Source organism: Homo sapiens, chromosome 11, assembly GCF_000001405.40.
Source record: "Homo sapiens chromosome 11, GRCh38.p14 Primary Assembly".
In the NCBI taxonomy this organism is placed as follows: Eukaryota; Metazoa; Chordata; class Mammalia; order Primates; family Hominidae; genus Homo; species Homo sapiens.
The window spans coordinates 11,419,013-11,436,372 of record NC_000011.10 but is presented as its reverse complement, the minus strand read 5'-3'; the positions used below and the strand labels follow the sequence as shown (position 1 = coordinate 11,436,372).

The 17,360-nt window shown below is 48.5% G+C and overlaps 1 protein-coding gene across 6 annotated transcripts in view; it reads left to right on the top strand.

Moving 5' to 3' along the window:
* Positions 1 to 17,360, top strand: part of GALNT18 (polypeptide N-acetylgalactosaminyltransferase 18) — a 351,129-nt gene that overhangs the window by 185,633 nt on the left and 148,136 nt on the right. For all 6 annotated transcript variants that reach the window (NM_001363464.2, NM_198516.3, XM_011520071.4 and 3 more), the window contains exon 3: positions 3,586 to 3,752. In NM_001363464.2, coding sequence (NP_001350393.1) covers positions 3,586 to 3,752 — 167 coding nt within the window. The remainder of the gene's footprint in view (positions 1 to 3,585; positions 3,753 to 17,360) is intronic.

The following is a 17,360-nucleotide window of genomic DNA, read 5'->3' as shown; positions in this document are numbered from 1 at the left end:
AGGGGATGTGTCCTGTGGCATTTGTGGGTTGGGAGGGAGGGGAAGTTGGAAAACGTAAGATAGAAGAGCCTCAATCTTGTGGAGAGAAGCCATCTGAGTGATCCTTTCTTCCCATTTCCTTATTCTGTGACCAAGACATAGAGCAGAGAGGGAAGGTGGCTCATTCATGGTCACACAGCAAGGTGGGGCAGAACTGGGAACAGCACCTGGGTGACTTCATCCCCTTCAAACGCTTTCCCAAAAACGATCCCCCCATATCATCTTCCTTACCCTGCCCACCCCTCGCCTCTCTGCTCACGCAGGGCCACATTAGGTCAGGTGTGGAGAAACTGAAGGCTGAGGAAAGGTGTCTCCTGATGCCGAGAGAGAGGCCACAGCGGCAGCATGGCTGTCGCCAGGAGGCCCCAGCAGTCCCAGGAGAGAAGAGAAAAGAAGGATTTAAGGAGGTCAGGGCGTTTGGCCTGAAGGGATTACAGTGTAAAGAAACTGAGCACTTCTGGAGACTGCGAATGTGAGGAATTGGGGCCATTCACGCAAGAGGAGGGAGGATGGGAGAACAGGAGCCTGCTGGTCGGCGGGAGGACCGGGACCTGACTCTCCTTCCAAGGGAGGAGGTTTGTAAGAAAAAGGAGCAGTCTGACATCAGCGGCAGACACTCAAAATGTAGGCCGTAGATAAAACAAGCAAGCTGTTAGGTTCGTTTCATTCCAAAAACATTCATGGAGTGCCTACTAAGTGCCAGACTGTGGTCCAAGGTTGGGAGACAGCACAGTCCAAAAGCAAAGTTCCTGCTCTCAGGGGGCTTCATTCTAGTAGAGAGGGGCAGACAATAAACAGGTTCGAATGTGATGCCCTAGAGAATGTGTTCAGCTATGTTCAAATGAGTTTTCTTATGAAAACTTTATGTTCAAAAGTCTTTCTTGTGAAAATCGTGATCAGCAGGGCTTAGCTTATTATACAAATACAGCATTTCATTCTGCGTGGAGAAAGACCATCCGGAGACCAGCTTCCAGAGACTGGCAGCTCAAACCATCAGGGCTGCTACTGGGAGGAATTAAAATTGGTCTCCTCAGAAGGGGGAGACTGGGCACCACGTTCAGAAGTAAGAAGGGAAGAGAGTAGGGGGAAGTAGTTAACCCCCATCTCTGAACACCCTGGAAATTTGGATACTGAGGCTCTGGGAACGCAGTGCAGACCCCGTGGGGAAGTGCAGAGAGATACAGAAGCAAAGTCTTCATTGCTGGTGGAGTTTTAGTAGGGAGGACAGTGAACTTGTGCCAATCCATTGGCCTTCTTGGGAGCTGTCTATTATACTTTATATAAAAGAAGAATTCATGTACTATTTGTTTGGCCACAGATGGTATTACTTTTTAAATGCAATTAGCAAGTGGTGTTTGTGTTAATACTCATCTCTGTCAGTTTCCATGCCTAGGGAAAACCCAACTGCTGGTCTTGATCTCCATAAATAAATACTAGCTAGAGGACTTATTTGACTGTCAACCATAAATCTTTTAATTGCTGTTCTAAAAATTGTATTCACATTTTTCTTTTCCAAAAAATTGAAAAAGATCCGATGAGCTTCAGAAGGCATACCAGTCTTTCTCCTTCATTCAAGTTCCTCCCCTCACCTCCCTATTCCCTTCATTCTTTCACCATGGTTAAATCAGCTGGTTCCCTCCTCTCCAGCCACAGCACTGGTTTCCTTGGATCCACAGAACCCTTGCACGACTCACTTTTGCATGCCATTTAAGTTTCTGATCCAATCTCTCTTCCTCAGAGAGGCCTTCCTGACCACCCCTTCTACAACAGCTGCCAGGACATCATCTCATTCTCTTGCCTAGAGTTTCTTTTCATCTTAGCACTTATATGAAATTGTATTTTTTCTTCCGTATGTATCTGTTTTTCTGTCAAAGCATAAGCTCCATAAGGACAGGGACTGTGGGACTGTGTCCACTTCCTGCTGTACCCTCAGTGCCTGTAGCACTACCTGCCTAGTGGAAGATACTCAATAAATATTTATTCCATTAAATGCAAGAACAAAGGAATTCTACACCAATCTATTAACTTGGTTTTATTAAAATCACAAGTACGAAGTAGATTTAGGAAAAGGGTCAACTCCTTCTTTCCCCCATTCCTCTCTGGCGAGAGAGAAGGAGAGCTGGAAATAGAATGGGAAAAGTTTCTGTAAATTTCTGGTAACCATGGAGATGCTGATCTTAGTTTATTAATCTCATGCTCTTAAGCAGGCTGGGGCCCCATGGTGATTTCTCCAAATTGCTCATTGCTGGTTATCCTGCAGCCTTCCTCATTAAGGAAGAGCAGGCCCATTCCTATTCTGCAACACTTTTTTCTGCAACTGCAATTACCAACAAGCAGAAGCCCTGTGCAATTATGCTCATTATTGCATGTTCTGACCTGGCTGCACCTCCCACTCTGGAGCAGTGGAACATGGTCACCAGCCCTAACGCCCTGGAGCCTTCAGTGGGAACCCTCCTCTCCAAACCCAGGGCCTGGGACAGGGCTGTGATTGCTGCCCCATTCTTTCATTCATCTACACAGAAAATGGGAGCTTAGTGCCTTCTAGAACAGCATTTAGTATCAGGCAGGGAAGGGCACCAGCAGTGGTCTCCTGCCCATAAAGACTATGCTTGCAGAGGAGGGAACTACCCTCAGGAGACACGGCACTTTTCATCGTCTGGCCTCTCATGGGATCTGATTTCAGAACTGTGTGTTCCTCTTCATGTGGGGAATACCTCAAGTCCTCAAGAGACCACCAAATGGCTTCAGGATTTCAGCAGAGCTAAGGGGAAATGGGCCAGTTAGGGGCATTCTCTTTCATGGCCATTTCTGCTTCAAGGAGAGATCCTGGTGCAGGTGTCAGAGGACCAGAGTTGGGATTCTGTCATGGTAGCTGACTCAGAGTGCAGCCATAGGTGGGAACTCAACCTCTTTGAGCCTCATGCTCCCTGTCTGTGAAATGAGACTGGACCTGGTCCTTCTACCTTTTCCTCATGTTGAGACTGTTTCTAGCTCCAACCCTGTTCTGGAAACTGGATTTCTGTGATGAGTGAGAAGCAGGAGAAGTTGCAGGCAGTATGCCTTCTGGAGTAAAGGGAAGTAGATTTTGGCAGAAGTCTCTGGGAGGAGGCGTCTTTGTCTCCTGAGGCTGGATGCCTGAGGTCTGGCCTCACCTAGGTGTTGGTTACCATTTTGGAAATACTACGAATTTACTTTGGTTGCATTCCCCATTCTACTGGATTTAGAAACATTGAATCATTCTTCCAGTAAACAATCAGGGACTACCTGCCAGCTGCCATGTGCTGTCCTAAGTGCTCATGGCATTACTGTTCAGCTGGCATAGTCACTGACAACTTCAACTCAGGTGTGGGGTGAACTGGTTTCAATGCTTGTGGGCCTTTCTGCTGGACATTTAGGGCTCATCTTAAGTGCATCAAAGAAGGGGCCCTTGGAAGAATCTGGACTCCCGAGCCCTCCAGCAAAGCTGGAGCCAGGACATGGGCTGGGTCAGCTCCTGAGATGACTCCAGCTGAGTCACAAATCTAAGCGCTTGGCTGTTCTTTGCAGGTGCCGTAACCTCTCATTTCCTGACAGCCTGCCAGAGGTGAGCATCGTGTTCATCTTCGTCAATGAAGCGCTTTCAGTGCTGCTGCGCTCCATCCACTCGGCCATGGAACGCACGCCCCCACATCTGCTCAAGGAGATCATTCTGGTGGATGACAACAGCAGTAACGGTGAGTGTCGGAGCTTCCCAGGGCCCAGGCCCTACTTCCTGGCTGACATCTAAGCTGATGGTTCAGCGTCGTGGTTCACATTTGCTCAAGGCTGTCTGTGGCTGCTCTTTCTCTGGAGCATAGATGAGAAATTCATGGTGGCCACTGCTTCAGAAGGTTCACTCCGTCTGAGCATGGCCTCTGCATCCCAGAGGGGTCTGGTCCTTAGGCTTTTTCTCCTGGCTGGCTACTCTCCCCTCCCATATTCCAGTGCAATAGATAAGATAGAAGGCCCTGACCTCCTACCCTACCATGTACACAGTGAACATGTCCAGTGACTCTTTTCCATGATGCATCATTTCACCTAGTAGGGTTCCACAGCCTCTGCCTGGAAGATTGTTCACTGGTGTTATGTTAGCAGTGGCAGTGGTGATGATGGTGCTGGTGGTGATGGAGGTTGTAGTGGTGGTGATGATGGGGATGGCAGTGGACACGTAACTCAATGACAGCAACAGACTTGTTGAATGTCTAGCCTCTTTGCTGGATCCCCTGTTCCCTGTTCCATCTGTCCCTAGCCAGACCCTGGGTGGCCTGCAAACACCTTGTTGAAGCCATCAAATCACTAACTCTCTTTCTCCAGCACTACCAGCCACCCCTTTTCCCTGGTGTACATTTCTTGGTCTCTGATTCTTTGCCCCCCCATATGCCATCATATACCATTCCAGACTGAAAGACCACATTTTGAGACAGCTGAAAAACCAGTGTTCTTGATAGGACCATTTATATGAATGTATTTCTGATAATGCATGATTTCTCAAAATAGACTGCTGGGTCACTGTATCATAGAAACACTAAGCTTGTTTTATCTTTTGAGCTTTCTTTGCTGTCAGGTAATAAATTTCCTAGTGAATCAGTTGCTGTAATGAGAAGTTCAGATGGGCAATTTGTGATTTGTTGTCAATTAAAGCTGAAATACATTGGATAATTGAAATGTATTTAATCTGAGAAAGCAAATCTTCATTTTCATTTTATCATCATGTGGTAAGAAGTGTGGGAGCAGTGCTGTAAGGGGATTTTAGAAATTTCTGAAGGGCTTTGCTGGAGAATCATTTGACTTTCATTGTTCCGTGGACATGAAGAAAGGAAAAGGCATCGAGGATGCAAATAGGCAACATAGTCTTAAAGGTAATTGTCTATCATGGGGGAGACAGGAAGGGCTCAGCTCCCATCTCTGATGGCTGCCTACCATCATCTAGCCTGGGACCCAAAAAACGGGCGCCTAAGAAAACTCCCATTCCCTAGTGACTAATGCCAGACAGCCTGACTAGCCTGCCCCACACACTCTATCCCTGGACTTCACCTAGGCCTGCTGATCCTCCTCACGTCTTACATTGTAAGGAGGCACAGGATGGAAGAACCAGCATTCAAGGATGAAAACATTCCCCAAGCAAGAGGCTGAACTCCTCACATAATAAGAGAGAAGAGTATGGAGCACTAGGAGGAAGAAATCTCGGAGCCTTTCATTTCTTCCCTGTAGTGAGAACCTTTTCATGTCCTTAAGGATGCCATTTGGACTCTAAGTCATATGGACAAAGCTGATATTGAGTCTGAGAAATTTAGATAAGGAAAGTGAATCAGATATAGAGGATTTCCTATTTGAACTTAAAGAGTTTGAACTCTATTTTGTAAATGGCAATAACTATCTAAAGCTTTTGGTCAGAGGAATGATGGGGTCAGAGTTGGGCAATGGAGGAATTTGGTCATGCTTTATTATATTGGCGGGGGAAAAGGGCATCTTGAAGAAGGGAAATGGATGAGAAGGCTATTGCAGCAGTAGAGAGAGAAGTCAAGAGGCCTGGAGTCAGGGAGAAGTTATAGGCCTGAGAGGTATTATGAAGGAAAAATCTGTTGGACCATTTGGCTGAGAAGCCATGGGCAGGCGGGCCAACAGAGGGGAGGTCAATGATGGCTCAGAGTTTCAAGCCAGGGTGATTCAGAGGATGGCAATGCATTGCCCCAGAAGAGGCAGGCAGCAGGAGCAATGCCCTGGTGCAGTAGTCCGTCATCAGGGATGCAGACGAGCAGCACCCTAGACCTTTCACAACCAAAGCTCTAGAGCATTGTGGTGATGGTTCAGTAAAGTATCTTGATTGTGGTGTTGGTTACACAAAGCTGTACTTGTCATCACAACTGCATCGAGCTGTATATGCACACCCAAACCAGTGCCTGCCTATGTAAGGAGAGATCCGAACAAGCTCTGTGGATGGTAGCCATGTCAGTGGCCTGGTTTTGATATTGTGCTGTGGTTGTGTACAATGTTACCATTGGGGAATACTGGGTGAGGGGCATATGAAACCTTCTTGTACACTTTTGTGAATCTATAATTACTTCAAAATATTAAGTTAAAACAAACAAAAAGCTCTCCTAGGAGATTCTGGTTCAGTGAGTTCAAAGAGGGTTCTAGACATCGCTGTTTTAAAAAGCATTCTTTTTTTTATTTTGGTTTTTTTTGAGACAGGGTCTTGCTCTGTTGCCCAGGCTGGAATGCAGTGGCACGATCACAGCTCCCAGGCTCCCAGGCTCAAGCAATCCTCCCATCTTAGCCTCCCGAGTAGCTGGGACGACAGGTGCATCCACCATGCCGGGCTAATGTTTTGTAATTTTTGTAGAGATGGAGTCTCACTACGTTGGGTAGCCAGGTCTCAAACTCCTGGACTCAAGCAATCCTCCTGCCTCGCCCTCCCAAATTGTTGGGATTACAGGTGTGAGCCACTGAGACTGGTCTTAAAAAGCATTCCTAATGATTCACAGCTCTGTTAGAGAAGCTTTAGTTTCAGGAATAACGTGTGGCTTCACTTTTGAACATATTTGGTGTCCAGTGCATGGTGTGAAGGGCCAGAGCTCTGGACTAAAGCCTGAAGTCATAGATTCTGGAACCCTCTCCACCATGGATGATAACTGACCACGGAAAAGTCCCTCAGCCTCTCAGCGTCTCTTTCTCTCTCTCTCTGGAAAATGGAGATGATAAATCCTCCTTTGCTTGCCTCACCTGCCTGCAGTGGTCACATCATGTGTGACTGTGAATTGATCCCTGTCACTATTACCCTCCCTGAGTTCTACCCCATTTCCAGGAGGCAAGCACATAAGCCAGCAAACTGCACGGCGGGAGCCCCAGAGGGGAAATGTGGGAATACGGATTTGGAGTCTCACGCGTGGAGTAATTAAAGCCATTGACTGGAAGGAGAGGAGGTCAAAAGGGCAGAGGAAAGAACCGAAAGTTAGAAGCTTGAGAGAATACTGAGGGTAAGATATGTAGGCATCGGGAGGAAGAGCGTTAGCAGGTGAGAGAGGAGGAATGCTCGGGAGAATCTGGAAGACAGCACAGTCTCCGTGGGCAGAGAGAATTTCAGGAATAAGAGAACTGTCTATTCACATGAAACCACAGACAGGTGGAAGGACAAGGAACCTGAGCAGAAGCCACTGGGTGTGGAAGGGACAGACCTGGGAAACCTCAGCGAGAAGCTTTAGTGGAATGTTGGAGATGGGGGCTGTCGAAGCCAGATGAAGATAAAGAGCAGGCAGTGAGGGGAGATTTTTCCTCGAGGATTCTTGACTGTAGAGGAGAATCACAAGCTCAGGCAGGAACTGGAGCAATGTTTTCCAAAAATAAAAATTAAAAATTACCATCCTCTACAGTAAGAAATAAAGTTACATCATGACCCAGGATGACACACCCACTCACACCCATACACACACGATGGGAACACGACTTTTAAGAAACAATACTTACCCTCACAATGTGCAAAGCACTCTGCTATTTTCTATTATATTCTGTTCAATTCAATTCTATTGTATTTTATTGTGTTCTAGTTCTCTTTTCTTAAAGGTAGGTTGTTCTTGAGACCCTGAGTGCATATTAGAATCACTTGGAGGGCTTTAAAGAAATTCAGGGCCCAGGTTTTACTGCTAGTGATTTAATGGGTCTGGGGAGGTGGGCACCTGAGGCCAGAGTTTGGAGCAGGGCCTCTGAGGAGGAAGATGGGATCCAGGGCACAGAAGCAAGAGTTGCCTCCGAAAATAAAGGACTTGTCTTTCTCCTGCCCTGTGAGGGAACAGGGAGGCAGCAGGAGGCAATGTGGCTGTGGTGATGGGTACCCAGAGTCAAGCGCAGCAGCAGGCTCAGTGGCCTGATGGCCAACAGGGCCAGAGCGGAGGCCAGACATGGTGGGAAGGGGCCTGGCCCTGGCTAGAGTTCCCATGTGGAATGGGACAGGGAGGTAACCAGGAATGGGGTTCCTTGACCCCAGGCTGAGCTGAACCCTCAAAAGGGGAAGAAGAGACACTAGAGTGAGCTCCTGGAGGACGTGGCCCCTCTCTAGCCTTAGGACATGGCTAAAGGCCCTTCGGATCTCAGCCTGACTTGGAGGAAAGCGGCTATGGCCAGACCCTGTGCAGACTCCACGCGGGGAGCTGCTTCTCTTGGGCCTCTCAGTGCAAGACTTTCATGTTTTTCAAATCAGGCCAACTCAGCTCGGTTCAACTAAGATTTCTGTAGTACCAGCCTGGGCTAACGGAAGGAAGAGGGTGATGGATCAGACCTAGTCCCTGCCATGGGGAGTTTGGCAGATAAGTCTAAAGTGGGGATGAAATGTTCTAGGACTTGGTTTCCAGGCTCGGTTCTGCTGCTTTCTGGCCATGGGTCTCTGGGCTTAGGTTTTCTCATGTGCCACGATGGGGACATCAGGCCCTGCCTTGCCCTGTCTGCCTCACAGAGGCACTGGGGATGAGGTGGGGGAATCGGAGTGAAAGTTCCCTGTAAGCTTCTGGGTGCCAAGGGTGACTTAAAATGACAGTGATAAAAATAACAGCAGGAACAATAATCATGACAACAGCTGACAAGTAGCCACTGTTGAAAGACAGCTGTTTTGGTGGGAAGAGCGCAGAATTTGGCATTCGGCCAGCTTTTCCATTCCAGCTCTTTCTGACTTTGTGCTACCTGTGTGTTCTTAACCTCTGCGAACCCTATTTTCCTTATCTGTAAAATTGAGATGTATAATTCCCACCTCAGGGGTTGTTGGGAGGCTTGAATGAGATAACACAATGGAAGGGATGTTGGTGTTTAAAACTCTAAATTACTCAGCCGAGCAGAGCCGTCGGAATGTCTTCCTCACTAAGCCTTCCTTCCCAGGCTTCTATTACTGGTTCCGTGCATGCTGGCGCCTCGTGTCTCCCCAAGCTCTCTTTGGCCACACCTTTGCTTTGGGTCAGGCCTGTGCTTCCTCAAACACAGGAACTGAGGAACAGGGCAAAGGAACAGGGCAGTCAATCACTGCTTTCTTCTTCCAAGCCTCTCTAGACCTTTAGCTCTCGCTCAGAAGCCAGGGACTGAAGGCTCTGTAAGTGGCCGTTATGTAGGAGCCTGAATCCCTGTTCTCTGTCTCCTTAGCAACTTTCTCAACAAGCTCCACTTTTTCAGGGGCTGGCTCCGATCTATCATGCTGTCACTCTGCTGCAGCAGTCTCAAACTTTAGCATTTGAGTTTGGTTAAAAATATGGACATTTGGCAGTGTGTGGTGGCTCATGCCTGTAATCCCAGCACTTTGGTAGGCCAAGGCAGGAGGATCACTTGAGCCCAGGAGTTCAAGGCCAGCCTGTACAACATAGCAAGACCCCGTCTGTATATTATTAAAATTTTATTTTTTGAATAATATGGAGATTCATACCAGGCATGCCACTGCCTCAGGACATTTGCCCTTGCTGTTTTCTCCACCTGGAATGTTCTTTCTACCCCCTCCCCTCTACCCTGCTCCATATCTGCACAGCTTGCTCCTTTTCCTCTTTAGGCCTTTACTCAAATGCCTCCTTCCCACTAGGGAGGTCAGTGAATCACTCCGTTTAAAGGGCAGCACTCCTCCCTGTCACTCCTCACCCCACCCCTTGTTTCTTTTCCTCTGTATCTCCAACTGCCTTCTGACATACTGTGCTCACTCATTTACTCTCTCCTAATTATTTGCACATTTCCCTCCCCCAGTGTGTAAGCTCCATGAAGACAGGGGCATTTATTTTGCCACGTGAAGCATCTCCAGCACCTAGAATAGTGCCTGGTATTTGTAGTTGTTCAATAAATATGGATTTAATGAAAGAATTTTGAATCTGTAGATCTGGGGCAAGGCCTGAAACCTGCATTTTAGCATGGCTCCAGGGCACTCTGATTCTTTGTGAGTCACTGTTCTAATTGTTGTCCTCCATCTGTGCTGCAGCTGAGGAGCCTGGGACAGCTGCCTCCGCCTCAGCTCCCCCAGAGCTAGCCTCTGGCTGCAGGCACCACTGGGTGGAGTGTTTCTTCCTGGGCCGGGGTCCTTGGGGCTTCCCTGTTGCATCCCAGGGATATGGCATGAATGTGGGGTGGAGTGCAGAGGAGAAGGTAAGTTTCTTTTCCTGGCCTGAACTCACTTCCCATCCTCAGAGTCAGATGATCAACCCTGAGCCTCCCTGCGACCACGTTACCCAACCTCTGCAAGCATTCCTGACAGTAGCGACCAGGCTCTGCCTGCTCTGCAGCTCGAAGGCCATGTTTCCCCTCCCCTCCTCATCTTCCTTGTCAAATCAAGAAAATGGTGGGAGCACAGCTCTGAGCCTGCTGGTTTCAGTTACCAGACTTTTCAGCAAATCCCAATGGACCAATGTCTTTAGCTGGGACTGCATGATTCAACCTCTACAGACTTCCAGAGGGAGAGAAGCAACAGGATTTTCAGTCAATAGAGGCATCTCTGCCTTTGACTCTTGGCATTCATTGCTTCGTTCTTTCAGTCCTTCAACAGGTTTTTGGTGGCCACGTGTTTTGTGCTGAGTGCCTGGCTAAGCACTTTGGGGGCTTGTTCATGTGACACAGGTATTCCAGTACCTGGCACAGAGCAAGTGCCCAGTGAACGTGAACTCTTTCAGGTTCCCTCTCCAGCTGTCCCAGCTGTTCCCTCGCCCCATCCCACAATTCAGCCACTTCCACTTCTGGGGAAAAAAAAAAAGTTTTCTTTGCTGTAGTCAGTTTCTGCTTCCTTTTTGAACTCCTGTCCTCTTTTGATAAACATAAAAATCACATACCCTTCTTTCATGCCACTTGAAATTTCAAAGTTAATTTGAATTTGTGATTAAAAGCACATCAAAGCAATGGTAATATCAAATATTCTTTTAAGAATCCCATACCCTGGAGATGTCTGTCTGCTCTGGGTTGGCAGTGCCTTGCCCAACCTGAATCCAGCCCATCACTTGTCTCCTGCTGCTGCTTTCAAGCAAGGCAATGGCTGGTTCCCAGCCCTTCATGTGCTTGAAGGCTGGATGGAATCTTCTGTCTCTCCCAGACCAGGGATCTCCTTTGCTCACGGACCCGGTCTTCATGCTGGCCATGTTTGCTAGAAACCTCCCATATCTGTTGCCAGGAGAAGGCATACAACTCAGCGGGCCTCAAGAGATGGGCAGAAGGAAACTGTCCCTCCCAACAACAGTGTCAGATGGGCAGAACCCAAGGTCAGCCAATTAATCCTAGCTGGCTCTTGGGAGGAAACTGCGGACCTACATTGGGCAGAAACCTGCCAGTGTGCCACTTCTTTGCATGGCAGAGCTGAGCTAGGGCCCTGGGTCTTCTGACTCCCACAGAAGACCACATCCTCCCGCACAGGCAGTCTCATCGCTTTGTCCAGCATGCACTTCTTCCTGCTTGTCTGCACTATCTGTGGGCATGGTGGCCCATAGCCAGACCATCCTGGTTTGTTCCTTTGCTGGGAATGAATGTCCTCCGCTACCCCACCCACTTTGCTTAGCTCCAGACTTCCAAAGTCAGCGTTACTACCACTGTTTCCAGAAACTCCTCCATGGTTCTGCCCCTAGCACCGCCCCAGCTGGATTAGGAGGTTGGCCTCAGTGCTCCCACGCACCCTGGCTCCTCCTTATCCTGCTGTGTTTTACCTGGTTATTGACTGACTAAATTACAGTGAGTAGTTTAGGTCAGACTAGCCAAGGTGACCAGTGTGACAGGAACATGATCCTGGTCATCTCCAGACCCCAACAACAACTAACCCAGTGTGCCGCTCATCGTAGTCATTCTGTCAATTTTGTTGACAAAAGAATAGTCATGATCTCCCAGGGAGGTAGATGTGGTCACCATCTCCACTTCATAGATGAGGCAGCTAAGTCTCAGAGGGTCTAAAAAAGAAAAAAGGGACAGGCTCAAGGCCACATAGCCAGGAAGTGCTAGGACAGGAATTCAAATCCAGGCCCGCTGGCCCTGGACCTTGTATCTCCTCTACTCTCCCACTCCTGGAAGCCTGGGAGGCATCAACTTGGGCACCTCCTCTCTGGTTCTCTCCTGACAGCCAGCCCACCCCATTGCTTCTTAGGGAGGGCAGACCAGAGCCAGGACAGCCGCCACATGCACTAAAATGGCAGGTCCAACGTAGGTGAGCCTCCCTGGTCCTTTCTTGGGTGCAGGTGATGGCTGGGGTCCTGCATCTACTTTGTTGGGGGCAGCAGGCAGGCTTGGCCAGGAAGGGTTTCCCAGGCTGGTGTTCAGGCTTCCAGCTGGGCACCACTCAGCTAGCTGCCACTGGCCCGGGCTGGAGTTTGACCCCCACTTCTCCAGGCCTGGGCCTGAGACTCAAGTGACCCCCAGTGCCCCTAGATAGAAAGAGTCCTGACCAGGCGCCCCCAGCTCATTGAGCGCTTAGTATGTGCCAGAGCTATTTTAAGTACTTCACCATAAATTAATCAGTGCCATATGATGGTGGTATGGACCATTACCAATGTCACCTGATGTAACAGGGAGGCAGACCCAGCGAAGTTAAGGAATTTGTCCAGAGTTACAGAGGTGCGATTTGACTGTTTGGTTTCAGCGTCTACACCCTTTACCATTAAACAGGCTGCTTGCCTCTGGTACACCATGGGTCTCTGATTCCAAACAACTTATTTGAATTTTGTCCTTATCCCTTTTCTCCATTCCCTCTGGAGAGAGAGAGATGTTGGGCAGCAGGACCAGTGAAGTAGGAGACAAAAAGGGAACTTCAGAGAAGGGTGTGTCTGTGTCCTAGCCTCAAGCTTTGCCTGGAGCTTTGCCTGGGGTTTCAGTAAGAAGGAGAGATGGGTTGCATAGAGGCTTTCTGGCTTCTGTTGGGTGAGAGGTAATTGAACAGTTGGCAGCCATGCTTTAGGTCACCTTGTGAGAGGGAGGCAGCTTCCTATTCTCTCTGAAATAGGGAGAAATTGGCATGCCTGTGTGAGTGTGCATGTATGTGCATGTGTATGTCTGCACATCTTTATACATGTATATGCAAGTACTCTGTTCATGTATGCACACATACGTTTGTGTACATGTGTATCGTGTTACATACATATAACACATGTGTTTGTGTGCATGCCTTGCATGCATATCCATGTGTTCATATTCATGCATACAAGTGTGTGTGTGCATGTGTGCACACATGTATGTGTTAATGCATCCATGTGAGCACTGTGTTTGTGTGTGTATTGTGTGTCTGTGTGTGAGTGTGCTTGTGGGTGGATGCGGACCTGTGTGTGCGCACTTACGCAGTAGTGTGCATGCATAAGCAGCATATACAGGCACATGGGCACGTGGGCTTGTGTGTGCTTGTGTGAACAGTGGTGTTTCAGTCCCCACTAACAATGGGTTGAGCCTCTTTCACCACCCACTGCTACCTGGAGCCACCTTCAAAATCCTGATGAATGACAAATAATTGCACAACTGTGAATCATTGTTATTTTTAATTGTTGGTAAGAAAGTCAATGTAGTGATGAAATAGAAACAGAGCTCCCCAGATTGCTTGCCACCAGCTGCTGGGTCCTTCCCCACCCCCTGCAGAACCCCCATTATCCCTTGGCCCAGAGTCTGCCTAATCATTGTTTAATGTTTCAAAGATTCTGTCCTACACAAGAGATACTCATTCCAGGCTGTAAAACTACCAACAGCTTTGCATGCAGCTGGAATAATTGCAAAAGTTAAAAAAAAAAAAACAACAAAAAAAACAGAGGAAAAGAATGGTCCAACAGTATTGTGCTTTATGGAGCTTAAAGAATCCCATGTAGCTAATCAAATTACAACCAAGACTCAGGCAGCTTAAAGGTGTTTACACAGCCAAGCACATGGGCTGTCAGCCCGTTCAGCCAAAGGCTCTTTGCCACTGCCTGCCTCTATGGCTTTGACCAGTGCAACTAGGCTGGCTCACCCTCAAGACTGGCAGCAAATACCTGGCAACCTTGGGGTGCACACCACCCAGTACCACCTGAGTCCTGGGTTCTCCTATTGTTGCTCCTTGCTGCCTGAGGTTGCCTCTGCCTGCCACATCCTATACCAGGCCTGAGAGTTCCTCTTGGGCATGGCCACTGCTACATCTCCTCTGGTGGTGTCCAGCAGCACTTTCCCAAGCTCTTACTGTAATGACTTATATGACTCTTGAGTTTCTGGCTACTCTGAGTATTGAATGCCCATCTCTCCCTGTTGATTCAAGCCCTGACCCCAGGCCTGGGCCCTGCTTTGGCCACTTTCTATGGAAGTAAAGTTTCTCTCATAGATATAGATATAGATATAGATGATATAGATATAGATGATATAGATATCTGACAGATTCAACTGATTCAACTGTGTCCATTTCTGAACCTACCTCTCAGCTGCCATGCATGATTCTATGCCAGGGCACCCAGGCCAGGGGCACGTAGGGGCTAAAATAAAGTCTGTGCTGTCTATTTGCTAAATTATGCATCCTGGTGTGAGTCTGTCTCCAAAGTGCCTTTTCTAACTGCATAGTCCAGAGAAGGCACCTTTTGGCCAAGTACATCAAGATGCTGTGTGCTAGCAGCGTGGCCAGTCCTGACCTCTGCAGAGACTCTGCAGAGACTCTGCAGAGAAGTATTGTTTCTTCCCAGTGGGTGGCCTTGACTTAACAGCAGTGCAGCAGCCTGGGATGACTTCCCTGTACCTGCTGGCCAGCAACCCCAGCTTTCCCCAACCTTCTCTGCATTGGTCCTGCGTTTGGCCTGCCTCTGTTTCCTGTCAACTTGCTGTTCTCTGATGGAATGGAATCTTGCTCTGATGCCTGCCTCATCCCCTTAGCTGGGCCCCAGCTTCCCAGCTAGCCCTGGTCAATCCTCTTCCTTGAGGGGCTAGACTCTGTTCCCTGTACACCAAACTGGGGCTCTGCTTCCACGGTTCGATCCACCTGGCTTCCTACATCATGGGGGCTGGGACTTCCCACCGATAAGCTCCTCCTGAAATGAGCATCCTTAGTGATGCCTAAGTATATCAGCTCTTGAGTCACCCGCCTCTTTGTGGACCAGCCCCAGGGCTCAATCCATTTCTCCAGCTCTAGTCCTGCATGTTGCCAGCCTCTTCTCTGCTCTCACCGGCCTCTCTGCTGAGGTCCCAACATGCTGCACCGCTGAAGCTGCCTGAGCCTGGCAGTGGTGTGGGTAGCTCATCACTCCTCTTGTCCCCTTTACTCGATACAGGAAACTGTCTTAGAGAATCAGGAACTCCCCAGCATGCTACCCTGCTGACGAAGGACAGCACCTGGGAGGGCAAAGGACCTTCCTTCTTTTTGCTCATGAGCTCCCTGTAGCAATCTACAGCAAGAGGGCTCTGTACCATTTTGCTTTACGGACTAGCCAAGGTGACCAGTTTTTGATAAATGAAGCTGGCAGGAATCAAATACAAAAAAAAAAGGCCTTCTTCCCCTGGTCAGCTGTGTGATCATCTGTCAACAGGGAAAGTCCCCAAACTGGAGCTGAGTGTTGGGAGTAAATCAGGAGGGGTTTCTCCTGCCCTCTGAGGGGCCCTGTTGCCAGCCACTGGGATCAAGCTGTCCCTAGAAAGGGCCAGGGAACATTACTTAGGGCCACAGTGCAGCCAGCAGGAAAGGTCTCCTTGTTCATTCTTGGCACCCAGCCTATCTTTCTCAGCAGCTTGAAAAGACAAAATCAGGTGCAGACAATAGTTACAGCTGAACACAGGGCACTCCTTGTATGCCAGGGTCCTCCTTCTGCTTTCCTGAATAGTTAAAACAGTTAAAAACTCAACAAATCAAATGCTCCCTACTGACATTAAATCTTTGGAGTATGGAATAACTTCTGGTGGAATTGATTTCCTGAAAGGCTGCCCCAAACCATGCAGTGACCCAAGTGGCCTCCAGTAGCTTCAGAGTCTCAGTGCTCGGCAAAAAGTGGAGCATGCGGATGAGAGTTAAGTGCTGTAGCCACCCCAGCTGCTGCCCATATCTGTCCTGCATAATTATCTTTCGGAAGATGAGCACCTCCTTGTTGGATGGTGAGGGCGGGAGGTGGTGCTAGAGACAGCACTAGGAGTTGGGGAAGCTGGTGCAAATGACTGGGTCTGAGGGTCCCACAGCAGGTATGGGCTCCCCTGTGCTGCATAGCAACAGAAATCTGCTCTCTCCCGTGGTGACTGGGAAGCCAGTTTTGGTGAGGGAGGTTTGTTTGTTCTGTTTTTTTTTTTCTTCTTTCAAAAATGAGAGTCCTAATCGACTCTCAGGAGACCTAAATTGGGAAACCAATTCAATTTTTTTCAGGAACTGTCTCTCCTCTCTGCTCAAGCCCACAGGGACTTGCACCCCTTCTGCTCTTACAGTCATGCATTCATTTAACAAATTGAGTACCAGGCCCAAGGCTCTGCAAGAGGGAGGCAGCAGGGAACCAGATGTTGTTCCTGCCGTCAGAGAATGATAGCAGGCAAGTAGACAGGTGTTCCAGCCCTCATTTGGCACAGATGCAGACTGTGCCCAGGTTATGGTTGATTTTAGGAGCTCATGTCCCAAGAGCTTATGGCATAAGTAGAATTTTAGGGAGGAGACGTAAAGGCAGCCTGCAGCAGGGTGTTCTAGTTAGGCCTGGTCTTGGGGTGGCTGCCATGAGAGAAATCCTGATAATCATATTGACACAAAGATTCTTACTGCACTTGTATTTTTTATGTTAAAGTTTGCATGGTTTCTTTTCCTTCTTTCTTTTTTTTTTTTTTTTTTTTTTTTTTGAGACAGGATCTTGCTTTGTTGCCCAGGCTAGAGTGCAGTGGCATGATCTCAGCTCACTGCAACCTCTGCCTCCTGGGTTCAAGCAATTCTCATGCCTCAGCCTCCTGAGTAGCTGGGATTACAGGCGTGCGCTACCATGCCTGGCTAATTTTTGTATTTTTAGTAGAGACAAGGTTTCGCCATGTTGGCCAGGCTGGTCTTGAACTCCTGACCTCAAGTGATCCACCCACCTTGGCCTCCCAGAGTGCTGAGATTACAGGCGTGAGCCACCATGCCTGGCCACTTTGCATGGTTTCTAATAAAGGATTGAAACAGAAAAAAAGCACAAAACAAAGAAATGTCTGACTAGTGAGCAGGAAGGGTTTTTACCAGCAACCACTAACAGAAGGCTAGTTTTTCTGGATGGCCCCATGGCTGACTCTGACCCCTTCTGTGCTGCTAGAGTAGAGACTTGATTTGTAGCCAACCAAAGAGGGCATGGCCTGCGTGCAGAGATATGTGATTCTCTTTGTGTTTTCCATCGCCGGTGCCCATACTGTGACTTCCAGTGGCCTTCTCCAGTGGCTCAGGTGGTTCTCCACTG